We start from the raw sequence: 14,372 nt of genomic DNA, 5'->3' as shown, positions 1-14,372 counted from the left end.
GGCAGAGGTTGCAGTGAGCCGAAATTGCACCACTGCACTCCAGCCCGGGTGACAGAGTGAGCCTCCGACTCAAAACAAAACAAAACAAAACAAATTCATGTTCATTTCTTCAGCCTGGAGCCTTGAGACTGCAGCCAGGACTATTTAGAATTCATAGATTCGAGATATGGGCTCAGTGGCCTCTTTATATATTTCTGAAAGCAGGAAGAATTTTATATCATTATTTTATTACTTAGATGATTAATAATATTCATATTATTAACCGTGTTACAATTTCAGATTTTCTGCTTTCCAGAAAATGGTCATGAGAAAATCTGAACTTGTAAAATGACTCCATTAAAGATAATCATTTTTTCACATTATAAATATTTATCCAGTACCACTCTGTATAGTCTGGGTCTGGGGGAAAAAAGGGAATAAGCCATAGATTCAGGGTTCTTTGAGATAGGGAGCCCTCTACCCCTTAACTATAAAGCTTAATATAATTTGTGGAAAGAGCTCTTTATACAGCTTTTCAGGAAGCTTGCTCTTCCTCCTAGTTGGGGGTGTCTGTACCATCTGTAGGATTACTTTCTATTTCATTTATTTTCAGGTCACAAAGTCTGTGCAGCACTCAGGAAGCTTGGAACATTGTCATTGTGGAGGGAATTGTTCAGACCTGAGGCAAAATAAAAACCGAAACTGAAGGCCAGGTATGGTGGCTCACGCCTGTAATCCCAGCACTTTGGGAGGCCAAGGTGGGTGGATCACATGAGGTCAGTTCAAGACCAGCCTGGCCAACATGGTGAAACCCTGTCTCTACTAAAAATACAAAAATTAACCAGGTGTAGTGGTGTGTGCCTGTAATCCCAGCTACTCAGGAGGCTGAGGCAAGAGAATCGCTTGAACCCAGGAGGCGGAGGTTGCAGTGAGTGGAGATCGCGCCACTGCATTCCAGCCTGGGCAACAGAGTGAGACTCTGTCTAAACAAAACAAAACAAAAATAACCTGAAACTGAGAGGTAGGTGTAAAACAGGCTGGAAGATTCATTTCAAGATATAAATAAACCTACGTAGACTTTCTTCCCCACTTGAGTCCCAGGGAAAAGTGAGAAGCAGCCAGGCAGGCACAAAGAGATCCCTGAGATTCCAGAGGCAGCCAGTCACTCCATCTGGAAGGAAGCAAGGAAGCTGTGGGAGGGAGGAGGGCTAAGGAGTTCTGTCCTGTGCTGTTTAAAGAAAACCAGGCAGCAGCTCACATTAGTCCCCGACATTTCCATTTCATGGCAGGTGGCACATGGTGCAGAAGAAGGATTATATAGGTCAGTCTAAGCCCAGCCAGCTACCACTAGCTGTATGGCTGTGTTAGCCCAGGTCTTCCAAGTAGCAGACATCAAGACAGGGTTAGACTGCAGGAGATTATTCGGTAAGTGTGCAAAACTGGAGAGGGAGCTGGCAAGGCTGAGAGAGGCGTCAGACGTCAATGCAGGTCTGACCCATGTGATGGAGAGAGGGAAGGAAGGAAGGTTACATCAAAGTATCTTACACGGCAGTGCAGTTCTAAGAAAGGTCAACAAGGCCAGTGGATTAAGGGGGTCCTTGAGCTAAAGATTTCCTTCAGAGCAGTGCTGTCAATCTCAACTTCCAGGTCGGCCTTAGTATCCCCATAGGCGGATACTAGTGGGAAGTATGGCCTCAGGGGAAACACCTCAGGTGACTTATCTTACCTCTCTGAGTTTTGGTTTCCTCAATTATAAAGTGAAGGTTTTTGAGAGGATTAAATAAAATAGCATATTTAAATTAAAGTGTTTACAGCCAGGGTGTGGTGGCTCATGCCTGTAATCCCAGCACTTTGGGAGGCTGAGGTGGCTGGATCACAAGGTCAGGAGATTGAGACCATCCTGGCTAACACGGTGAAACTCTGTCTCTACTAAAAATACAAAAAAAAATAGCCGGGCGTGGTGGCGGGTGCCTGTAGTCCCAGCTACTCAGGAGGCTGAGGCAGGAGAATAGCATGAACCCTGGAGGTGGAGCTTACAGTGAGCCGAGATTGCGCCACTGCACTCCAGCCTGGGTGACAGAGACTCTGTCTCAAAAAAAAAAAAAAAAAAGTGTTTAGAATGGAATCAACTGCCTAATAAATGTTCAATGAACATAAATTCCCTTCCTTGTCTTCTTGTACCCCATCTTGAGGCAAGTTTGGCACAGCGATATGACTCCTCTCCCCAGCCTGTCCTTCAGTCATCCTTCTTCCCTCTCCCCAGCCAGACACATAGGAGGCAAGTAAGTGGCCCTAAAGGCCAGGGCCTGAGTGCTTGTGTTTTTGTGTTTTGGTAGCCAGGCCTTGAGCCTTTATCCTGATGACATGGGGCTTCAGCCCACAGCTAGGCTGGGATGGAGGAGGGAGACCCCAGAAGGAGAGATATCACTTTTTTTTTTTTTTTTTGAGAGATAGTCTCTTTCTGTCACCCATGCTGGAGTACAGTGGCGTGATATCAGCTCACTGCAACTTCCACCTCCTGGGTTCAAGCAATTCTCATGCCTCGGCCTCCCGAGTAGCTGGGCTTACAGAAGTGCACCACCACACCCAGCTAATTTTTGTATTTTTAGTAGAGAGGGGGTTTCGCCATGTTGGCCAGGCTGGTCTTGAACTCCTGGTCTCAAGTGATCTGCCTGCCTCAGCCTCCCAAAGTGCTGGGATTACAGACATGAGTCACTGCGTCTGGCCAGATACTATTCTTACTTAGGAGAGGTTACTGCGTAGTTGGAAGGTTAAGCCACACCCCTTGGGAACACCGTCAGGGAAAACACTTAGGGAAGCTCTGCTCCAAAATTTTTCAGGCTGGGGTCCAGAGGGTCTGCTGCCCCGGGACTAATGCACATGTTCCCTCAGAGAGAGCCTTTAGGGATGGCTGTGTAAGACAGTCCCCAGCCCCACCCTGCCCACTGTCTCCACCGTACCCTCTATCATCCTCTGCATGCCTCATGCTCCTGCAGTGCTCTTCTCTCTCTGCCTCTGTCTCTCTCTCCCCAACCTCATAAATCTAGGCTTTGTTCCTGCTGGTCCCTCTCCCTACAATGTCTTTCCCTTCCTTTACCCTCCTAGTGAACACCTGCTTCTCTATCCAGCTCAGATGTCCCCTCTTCTAGGCAACCTTCCCTGGCGCACTGCTCTCACAACTGACTCCAGTCCCCAGGTCTGGCACCCCACCTCTCTGTGCCTCAGTTTCTGTAGCTGGAAAATACGATGATGATGACGGTACTACCATAGCTAATCACAGGGTAGTGGTAAGAATTAAATGAGATGATAAAAGCACCTTGTGAGGGGGCTGTATCAGTGAGTGTCATGGTCAGTGGTAGGTATGTGTCAGCAGATGCATACCTCATTGGTGAGCATATAATACTGTATGTTGCTGGGGGAAGCCCACAATGTGAGGACACGAGAGAAGCACTGGACTTAGGGTCAGAAGGCCTGAGTCTCTCTGCTGCAGATGGGCTCTCTGTCCCTGAGCCAAGCTTTGTCCTCCCTGGGCCTCAGTTTCCTCCTTTGTTCATTTAGGCATGGCCTCCAGGGCCCCTCCTGGCTATCCTAGCTTGGCTCAGAAGCTCTGGGTCCTGGGCTCTGAGCTCCGAGGCCCTCCCTGCCCAGCTCCTGTTCTCAGTGCTGGCTCCCTAGGCTGGACAGCTCCCATGCTATTAATATTCCTGGAGACAGCAAAGTCTCCCAACTCTCAGCATCTGGACAGCACCTCAGGCCAGGAGCATGGAGGCCCAGGCACACATCAGACCCAGAGCTCCAGAGTAGGGCATGGGAGAGTGGGGAGCTCCTTCCTGGAAGAGGAGGTTGGCACCGGCAGCGAGGAGCTCCAGTGCTTCGGAGGGGGAGCAGGAGGGGGTTGGGCACACCCTTAGTGGAGGAGCTCAGAGACTGTGGCTTTTGGGTTTTGCCTGCAATCCTTAGGGCCAAGATCACCAAAATCATTTAGACCCTGACATCCTAATTGGTCCTAATCCACATATAGAATATAGGATTCTCACTTGATCCTATGGAAGAGAAAAATTTTCCACTGTGAATGTTCAGAATCTTCTTAGCAATCAAGGGCTCTATCCCACACATAGCAATTTTGTCACATCCTAGACTATGGGACTTTTTTTTTTTTTTAAGTGCTTCAGTGTGTCTTTGATGCTGGATTTGGTAATTGGTTCTTGGGTTTTAAAGACTTGGTATTTCCACGGTGAGTCATAATTGTTCGTTGACATACCTCATTGCCTAATGCCATTTATAGCCCCAAAAGATAACATACATCACATGAGGATTTTTTAAGCTCACTTCTTTAAACAGATTCTATATTGTACTGTTTGCTAGGTCATTCATCCATCCAGTATTCTCTCTGCTTCCTCATTTCTCCTGTGTGCTGGAGACTGTGCTCTCACCTTCACACCCCTCATTTTATTTAATCCTCACAACCATCTCAGCGAGGCAAGAATTATTATCCCCTTTTCAAAAATGAGAAAAATATGACTCAGAGAGGTTAAGTGATGTGCCCAGGGCCACACAGTAAGCGACTGGAATTAGGATTTCAACTTAGGGCACTGAACTTTTCATCATAGCAAATTGGCCTCCTCTCTCCTCCTAAGCTCCCCACTTCTCATAGCATTCAAGTCCTCCTCACTATTATGTGTGTTTGTGTGTGTGTGTGTGTGTGTGTTTTAGAGACAAGGTCTTGCTCTGTCATCCAGGCTGGAGTGCAGTGGTGAGATTATACCTCACTGCAGCCTCAAACTCCTGGGTTCAAATCACCCTCCCACACCAGCCTCTCAAGTAGCTGGGACTATAGGCACATACCACCACACCTGGATAATTAAAAAAAAATTTTTTAAAGATGGGGTCTTGCTGTGTTGCCCAGGCTGGTCTCAAACTCCTGGCCTGAGGGAATCCTCCCACCTCAGCCTCCTGAGTACCTCCACATTATTTTGAAGCAGAGAACACTGGGGATAATTATGAGTTTTTTGTTTGTTTGTTTGTTTTTGTTTGATGAGAAGAATATTGTCTAGGTTTATTTTATTTTTATTCTTGATGAGAAGAATATTGTCTAGGTTGATTTTGTATTATTATTCTTGATGAGAAGAATATCGTCTAGGTTGATTTTTTTTTCATGAGCTTATTTATTCATTCAATACATCTCAATGAGAACTGGCTAAACAGGGACACTTGGTGTTAGCCCAGAGACCTAGAGGTCATGGCCACTTATTACATGCCGGGACCCATGGTCATTCCATAACCACCCTGCTCCCACCCTGAAAAAGAGTCACAAACAATTAGGACCCAGACTGGTGGGTGGTCTTGTAGGAGAGGGTCTTGTAGGAGAGGGTCCAAAGAAGTGAGGACAAAACCCTACCAATTAGAAGTCAAGTCTGAACTCCAGACAGGAAAAAAGAAAAAAAACCCATCAACTCAAAAAACCCTCTGTTCCCGTTAAGAGCATAAGCTTTAGATTACAAAGTCTTACATAGTGGGAGATATCCTTGGGAAGGAGGTGTTGTGAGGTGGAGAAATAGAGGCACTGATGTTGGCACCCAGAAAATCTTGGGCCATCTCTCAGGCAAGTGGCTTGATCTCTCTGGCCTATGTTTCTTTATCTGCAAAACAGAAAGATGCTTTCTGTTTCTCAGGGTGAGGGGAGTAAATGAGCTAACATGTGCAAAGCCCTCCATTCCTGAAATGTGGCAGCTACTTTAAAATTGTTATTTCAATGCCATGAGTTATGTGTGGAGCAGTTGGTCCAGAATAGAGGGGGAACAAAATTTGGATCAAAGAACAGCCCCTGAGGGATTAAGCATTCATATAAGATAGACATGAATCATTGCAAAGGCACACCCTTTTTCCCAATGTGTCAATGAGACTTCTTCATCCAATGAGTTAGTCTAACCGGAGGTGAGGTGGGCTCTAATTCAAGACCTATAATAGACCAGGCATGTGCCATTGATAGATGCTAATGATGATTGCAAACAAAGGGGGGTGGCTGCATAAATGTAGCTTCCTCTACATGCTCTGGAGGAATGGGAACATCTATCTGAGACCTCTGGTTGGGGACTATAGGCTTAAGAAGGCCAATATAATAGGGAGGACAGCATGGTAGCGAGAAAGAAGGTGGACTTAAAGCCAGAAGAGCCAGGCTCAAGTCCCAGCTCTACTTTCCAACAAGCTTTGAGACCCTGGGCCAGCCACCAAGTGTCCTGTCTGGTTTATGAGAACAGTTGTCTTAGTATCTGCCTCACCTTGGTCATAAAACTGTTGTCAGAAAGACAAAGTAGGTCCCTCAAAAAATTAAACATAAAATTACTAGAAGATCCAGCAATTCCACTTCTAGGTATACAAAAAATTGAGGCTGGGCTCAGTGGCTCACACTTGCAATCCTAGAACTTTGGGAGGCTAAAGAGGGAGGACTGCTTGAGGCAGGAGTTCAAGACCAGCCTGGGCAACATAGTGAGACCCCCCCTTCTCTACAAAAAAAAAATTAAATTAGCTGGGCATGGTGGCATGCACCTGTGGTCCTGGCTACTAAGGGGGCTGACGTGGGAGGATGGCTTGAGCCTGGAAGGTTGAGGCTGCAGTGAGCTGTGATCACACCACGCACTCCAGCCTGACTGATAAAGTAAGATCCTGTCTCAATGAATGAATGAATGAATTGAAAGCAGGGACTTCAACAGATATTTTTACCCTCATGTTCATAGCAGCGTTATTCACAAGAGCCAAACAGTGGAAACAACCCAAGCATCCATTAATGGATGAATGGATAAGCAAAGTATGATACATACACAACGGAATACCATTTAGCCTGAAGAAGGAATGTAATTCTGATACATGCTTCAACATGATGATCCTTGAAAACACTATGTTAAGTGAAAGAAGCCAGACACAAAAGGAGGACAAATGTATGATTCCAGGTAGATGAGGTTCGTAGAGGAGTCAAACTCATAGAGAAAGAAAGTAGAGTAGTCATTATCAGGAGCTGGAGGAGGAAGCAATGGGGAGTTATTGTTTAATGGGTACAGAGTTTCAGTTTAAGGTGGTGAAAAAGTTTTAAGATGGATGGTGGTGATGCCTACACAACATGAATATACTTAATGCCAAAGAATTGTACAGTCAAAAATTGTTAAAATGCCCAACTACTCTGGAGGCTAAGGCAGGAAGACCGCTTGAATCCAGGAGTTCAAGGCTGAAGTGAGCTATGATTGTGCCACTGCACTCCAGCCTGGGTGACAGAGTGAGACCCTGTTTCAAAGAAAAAATAAAAAGTAAAAAAGATAAATTTTATATTATGTATATTTTAACACAATAAAAATTACCTTTTTTAAAAAAAGAAAGATATAGGCCAGGCGCGGTGGCTCACGCCTGTAATCCCAACACTGTGGGAAGCTGAGGCGGGCAGATCACGAGGTCAGGAGATTGAGACAATCCTGGCTAACACGGTGAAACCCCGTCTCTACTAAAAATACAAAAAAAAAAAAAAAGGAAAAAAAAATTAGCCCGGCATGGTGGCGGGTGCCTGTACTCAGGAGGCTGAGGCGGGAGAATGGCGTGAACCCGTGAGGCGGAGGTTGCAGTGAGCTGAGATCGCGCCACTGCATTCCAGCATGGGAGACAGAGCGAGACTCCATCTCAAACAAAAACAAAACCAAAAAAAAAAAAAAAAAAAAAAAAAGATATACTGTAGAGGAGAGTCATTTGCAATCTGTACAGCAACATGAAATAATTAGCTGTGGTAGAGGGGTTAGGATGCAATAGTTACATTATTATAACTACCCTCTACCACAGCTAATTACTATTGCTCTACAAGATTTCATATTGCTTTACAGGTTCTCTTAGAGCAATTGTCAAAATTGAGACCCTCATCCAGGACTTCTACAAACTGTTTTCCAATCTGAAAAATAGCAGGAAGGAGTAGATTTTTTTTTTTTTTAAGACACTGTAAGAGCTGAACGTGGTTTCCCTGGAAAGTGGGAAACGGGAGTGGTAGGGGCTGATGTTTTTCCTAACAGGTTTGTAGAACTGGAATCTTAAAAAAAAAAAAATGTTCCTGATTCATTATTTTCTAATGCTCTTTATTTATATCTGCTCTGATCATTGACTTCTATCCCACAATAAAGTTGAACCAGCCAGTGAAAACCATGGTTGTTATAGCTAGGAAGAGGGTGCTGAAGAACACTGAGCACCCTGTGTTCCTCCTTTCTGCTGGGCACGCAGTGATGGGGAGGGCCCTTACCCAGGACTGCTCAGTGTGTCCCCATCGGTAAAAGGAGCCATTGGCCTTCCTGTTTATCAGCCTCTCAAGCGTCTGCATCAGAGGCCTGGGTTCTCCAGAGCTTGGTTACCCCAGAGTGAGCTTTGCAGGTGGAGTTTGACAACTTCTGAGATGAAGATCAGACTCAGGGTCTAGGAGACATGGGCAAGGTTCTTAACCTGGAGCAGCCCAGAGGTCTGGGCCCCTTTAATGACTGTACACCACTTAGGGTGAAAATTAAATTGTAAACTGTGTGTATATGTGTTAATATATACCAACAAATAAAACTTAACTTGGGCAGTAAGTTGGCACGATTCCTATAAACAACACTTTATAGGAAATAATTAAATAAGCAAATTAATATGCCCATTCATGTTTTTTAACAGATTTACTGAGCTATAATTCACATACCATACAATATACCCATTTAAGGTGTACGATTCAGCCAGGCACAGTTGCTCATGCCTGTAATCCCAGCAAATTGGGAGGCCAAGGTGGGCGGATCATTTGAGGTCAGGAGTTTGAGACCAGCCTGTCTAACGTGGTGGAGCCCGTCTCTATTAAAAAATATATATACAAAAAAAAATAGCCAGGCATGATGGCGAGGGCCTGTAATCCCAGCTACCTTGGAGGCTGAGGCAGGAGAATCTGGGAGGTGGAGGAACCTGGGAGGTGGAGGCTGCAGTGAGCCGAGATCGCGCCACTACACTCCAGCCTGGGCTGGACTTTTGAGACTCCGTCTCAAAAAAAACAAAAAAGTGTACAATTCAATGGCTTTTGGCACATTAATTTATTAATCTTAACATTGTGAGAAAATATATATAACATAAAATTTGTCATTGTAACCTTTTTTTTTTTTTTTGAGATGGAGTCTCGCTCTGTCACCCAGGCTGGAGTGCAGTGGCGCGAACTCAGCTCACTGCAAGCTCCGCCTCCCGGGTTCACGCCATTCTCCTGCCTCAGCCTCCCAAGTAGCTGGGACTACAGGCGCCTACCATCACCCCCGGCTAATTTTTTTTGTATTTTTTAGTAGAGACGGGGTTTCACATGTTAGCCAGGATGGTCTCGATCTCCTGACCTCATGATCCACCCGCCTAGGCCTCCCAAAGTGCTGGGATTACAGGCGTGAGCCACTGTGCCCGGCCCATTGTAACCATTTTTAAGTCCATAGTTAAGTTGATTATATTCACAATGTTCTTTTATTTAATCCCTGTGAAGATGCCATTTTATAGATGAGAAAACGGAGGCTAAGTTAATGAATTTACCTATAGCTACTCAACGAGGAAGCAGCCAAGTAGAGTTGCAAACTCAAAGTCAAGCTGAAGGCTGGGTGCTTCCCAGCAGGCCAGGTTACCTTCTATGAGGTGGAGAGGCTCCTGGCAGATCAACCATCCAGAGTAGCTGGAAGGCGGGCTTGTTGTTGCCTAAAGGAGCCAGGGGAAACCGCACAGCATGCTTTGGCCCCTCATGGCTCCTCACTGACCCTCCTAAGTCGACTTTGAACCACAGTGACATGTACTCTCCTTTGTGCCCTGACACCTGTTCTCCCTAGAGGGCACAGATGGGCTACCTCCTCCTCCTCCTCCTGGCCAAACTTTTTGAAAGAAGGACCCACAACTCTCTCTGATTCCTCATTCCTTGTTATTCCTCAGTCCACTGAGATCCAATCCCATCATTCCTTTGATACTACCTGCCCCCATCGGCGTCACTGAGTGGCCTGGTGAGCAAATCTAATGGATCCCTCTCTCGGGGCTGTACTGGCTTTCCTAGTGGCTCAATGGCACCCCACTCTCCTGGTTCTCCCAATTCTCATCACCCCTCTGCTTCCCTCACTCCTCCCTTCCCTAAAGGGAGGGCATAGAAGGCCAAGGGAGCCCTAAGCTAGGCCACCATCTGTTTCCTCAGAGTCTGGTCTGTCTTTGGACTGCACTTGCTTGCCTGGTCAGTCTCCCATCTCCCTTAAATTCAGAACCATCCATGTGTGGCCACTACCAAATTTCTACCTCCTGCCAGGCCAGACCTCTCATCTGAGCTCCAGCCACAAGTCCTGCCTGGCCAGCCTCCCTGGTCATCCCACAGGCACCTCAAGCGAACCATGTCTAATGGACCTCAGCACCCCTCCCCTTCCAAACCAGCTTCTCTTTCCATGTCCCTATCTCAGTGACACACACCATCATCTACCCAGTCATAAGAAGCAGAAACCTGGGAGTCACTCTCTGGAATGTGAACTCACGGGGCAGGGATTTTTTTCTTACTTGTTTAAAGCCTATATTCCAAGCACGTGGAACTGGCTTAGGAGGTGCCTAATAAGTATTTGTTGAATGAAAATCTTTTTTTTTTTTTAAATAGAGATGGCGTCTCACTATGTTGCCCAGGCTGGTCTTGAACTCCCGGCCTCAACTGATCCTCCCACCTCAGCCTCCCAATGTGCTGGGATTACAGGCATGAGCAACCACACCTGGCATTGAATGAATTCTTGCCTTCTCCCACATACCAAAACCATCTCCAAGACCTGTCCATTTTGCCCTTTAAACATTCTCTTTCCTGGCATGGTGATGCATACTTGTAGTCCCAGCTACTCCAGAGGCTGAGGCAAGAGGATTACTTAATCCCAGGAGTTCAAGGCCAGCCTATAGAACATAGCGAGACCCATCTTATAAAAAGAATAAAATGAAAACATTCTCTCACATACTTCTACATCCTCCAACAACGTTGCTGCTCCCCTAGCCTAAGTCCCCCTCATCTCTTGCTAGGACGAGTGCAACAAAGTCCTCACTGGTCTTTCTGCTTTTGCTCTCCCATTCCCTGGGGCACCAGCTGGCGGATGCTTTCTACAACCCCAGCATGACGTTCCCCTCACCTGCTTAAAACCCTGCAAAGAGTCCCTGTTGATATCAGGATAAACTTTTTTGGCATTGAGGGGGTTAGAGAATAGTTTTGAATAAATGTTTTTCTACTCTCTGCAGCAGACTGAGGACCAGAGCCCTTGGCACGCCCAGCCCCAAACATTTTTTCCTGAGGGTTGGGGGGTATCGAAGAGCCCTCTAACATCAGAGATTCTCCCAAGGGGAGTGGTGTTGAGCTCTCTAACATTGGGGAGCTCTGCCAGCTCCTTGCCAAGATGCTGGCCTAGCTTAGGACTCCCTTGGCCTTCTATGCCTTCCCTTTCCCTTTGCTCCTCCCATTCACTGTAGAGTCCATTCAGGGTGCATGACCTGGGTGTTGCTACCAGCAGAGGTGAGAGAAAGAGAAAAATGGGAGAAAGACAGAGCTGCCAGGGAGACTCAGCCCCCTTCTCTCCTGGGATCCTTCTTTCTCACCATCCTGAGTCTGCACCCTGATCTACCTGTGGCCACCACTGAGGGTCTCCTAGGGGCTTGGCAGATGGGGACACTAGGCTGCCAGCAAGGGGCAGAGGCCTTTGTCAGAGTAAGCAGGAGAGAGAGACAGAGAGAGAGAGAGAGAGAGACCTAGTGTCCTTTCTTCCCTGAAGTAAAAGACTCCTGGCTTCACATGCCTTCCTGGCCTTGGGCCTTGGTAACTTAGAGCCTGAGGGTGAGCCTGGAGTGATGGGGACTAGAGGCACAGGGGTTTCCTGGGGGTAGGACATAGAGGGAATCAGCCTGCAGGGAGGTCAAAATGCTTTGAACTCGGGCTGCAGGAACCTTTGAGAAGTGCTCAGAACTCAGATTCTAAGGACACCCTAGCGAAGTGACTGAACTGAGGCTGTGGGACCTTTCTGGGAAATGTGCGAAATTTAGGCTGCAGGGGCTCACTGAATTCAGGCAGGGGGTTCTTAGGAAATGTACTGACTCTAACTGTGAGGCTGTCTGGGGAGGCTGATAAACTCAGGTCCAACAGGACATTCTTGAGGACTGCATTGAACTCAAGTTGTAGGGGCTTCTTGGAGAGACCCATGAACTGAGTTTATGGACCCTTTTTGGGGAGGTCACTGAACTTTCACTGCATGCCTGGAACTTTGCTTGCAGACTCAAAGTCCATGTGGCTGTCCTCTGCTACACAAACTCAGAGGTACAAGACATACAGACAGACATGGACTGCAGTTACCCAAGGATCATTCACAGTCTCTCCTCTCTCCTTGCTACACACACACATACACACACACACACATACACACACCCTGTCTCTTCAGTCCCCTCTCCTGGTTCTTCCATAATTTCCTAACCTCTGAACACAGGAATGTTCAGAGTTCAGTCCACAAACCTCCCCATTTGTTTATACTCACTTTTTTTTTTTTTTTTTGAGATAGGGTCTTGCTCTGCCACCCAGGCTAGAGCGCAGTGGCCCAATCTCGGCTCCCTGCAATCTCTGCCTCCCAGGTTCAAGCGATTCTCATGCCTCAGCCTCCCAAGTAGCTGGGACTACAGGCACATACCACCATGCCCAGTTAATTTTTGTATTTTTAGTAGAGACTGGGTTTAACCATGTTGCCCAGGCTGGTCTTGAACTCTTGACCTCAAGCGATCCCAGCAATGTCTATCTGGGCACTCTTCACTCCTTTACCCAGCTTTGTATTTTCTCTGTAGCTCTTATCACAGTCTGATATACTGTAGATTTATTTGTTATTTGTTCATTGTCCGTCTCTTCCCACTTAAATATAAACTCCATTAAGGCAAAGACTTTGTCTTGTTCACTGCTGTATCCCTCCAATTACAACAGTGCTTGAAAAATAGCAGTGCTCAATAGATATTTGTCGAATGAATGAATGAATGCTGGGAACCAAGTGAATATTTGTTGAATTGAGGGGTACTGGACCCCACTTTTTGTTTTTCTTTGAGACAGTCTCACTCTGTGCCCAGGCTGGAGTGCAGTGGTGCAATCTTGGCTCACTGCAACCTCTGCCTCCCAGGTTCAAGCAATTCTCCTGCCTCAGCCTCCCAAGCAGCTGGGACTATAGGCACAAGCCACTAATTTTTGTATTTTTAGTAGAGACAGGGTTTTACCATGTTGGCCAGGCTGGTCTCAAACTCTTGACCCCAGGTGATCCACCTGTCTCAGCCTCCCAGAGTGCTGGGTTCACAGGCATAAGCCACTGCACCTGGCCTGGACCCTACTCTTGATCTTTGTGGATCACACAGACCTGTATCTTCCTTTTCAGAGATTCTTTAAAAAAAAGAGAGAGAGAGATTTTTTCTAAATCAGTTACCAAGGCTGTTAAATGGGAAAATGAATAGCTAGTCTAAAGGAGGAAATTTAGCACTTGTAGAACAGCAAGGGGGTGCTTGAAGCATGACAGCTGAAGGTAACATATATAGGTAATGTAATACAGGTAACATAGCCTACATGAGTAATGTCTAGTCTGAAAACGAATACTACTTTGAGTATTTAAAACAGAAAGATGTTAATAGACATCACACAAGCAATGGAAGAATCAAGAAAGCACTGGAGAGTATGACACAACTCAGATCAGCAGCAGCAGGAAACCATTTCTACTCCTAGGCCAGAGAGTGAGGAGGAAGGTTTTCAGGGCACAGGGACCAGGGACATCAACAGATACTTTCTTGTAATTCTGACAGCTGCTATAAGGAGAGGAGTCTGGGGCATCTGGCCGCGTTTCCAAATCTGCTCGGCCCTTTTCTTCCAAGGATGATCTGGTTCTGCTCTTTGATCCAGGGCACTGCTTTAAAGAGCCTGTTTGTTTGTGGCAGGCACCAGACTAGTATTGTCACTGGTTCATGGACTCTGAAAGCACCTAGAAGATCCACTGTTCCTGTGGCAGTGGATGATGGCAGCTGGTACACCCTGGGTGCAGCTGGTGTCTTTGATTTAGTACAAGCACCTTTCAAAGATTTCATTACACTTGAAAGCCTCACCTCCGGAAGGCAGTGGGTGGGGGAGCAGCTGTTCAGCCTCTGTAGAGATAGGACCAATGGGTGCATTTCTGAGGAAGTAGACTTCAACTAAGGAAGAAGTTTTTAACACAGCTGCCAGCAATGGCCTTGGCTCTCTTGTGAAGAAGTGAGCTTTCTGCTCCAGAAGGTATTCTAGCAGTCTGTCAAAAATCTTGCAGTGAGGAAAGCCTACAGTGGCCTACAAAAGCCTGCTAAATGCCTTCTCCATTGCTTCTAACTTTGCCCAACTCTGAATT

At 46.5% G+C, this 14,372-nt stretch overlaps 1 non-coding gene across 1 annotated transcript, besides 1 other annotated feature; it reads left to right on the top strand.

Moving 5' to 3' along the window:
• Positions 1 to 3,419: 3,419 nt before the first annotated feature.
• On the top strand, positions 3,420 to 3,509 carry MIR422A (microRNA 422a). The gene has a single exon (NR_029944.1). It is a non-coding gene; the product is annotated as a microRNA 422a (primary transcript).
• Positions 13,919 to 13,978: an enhancer, noted in NCBI's record as "active region_9542". NCBI's record gives its function as "activates an Ori minimal core promoter by ATAC-STARR-seq in GM12878 lymphoblastoid cells {active_cell/tissue: GM12878}" and the evidence as "EXISTENCE:reporter gene assay evidence [ECO:0000049][PMID:35858748]".

Source organism: Homo sapiens, chromosome 15, assembly GCF_000001405.40.
Source record: "Homo sapiens chromosome 15, GRCh38.p14 Primary Assembly".
In the NCBI taxonomy this organism is placed as follows: Eukaryota; Metazoa; Chordata; class Mammalia; order Primates; family Hominidae; genus Homo; species Homo sapiens.
The sequence above is the reverse complement of the archived record's forward strand: the minus strand, read 5'-3'. Positions and strand labels throughout refer to the sequence as shown.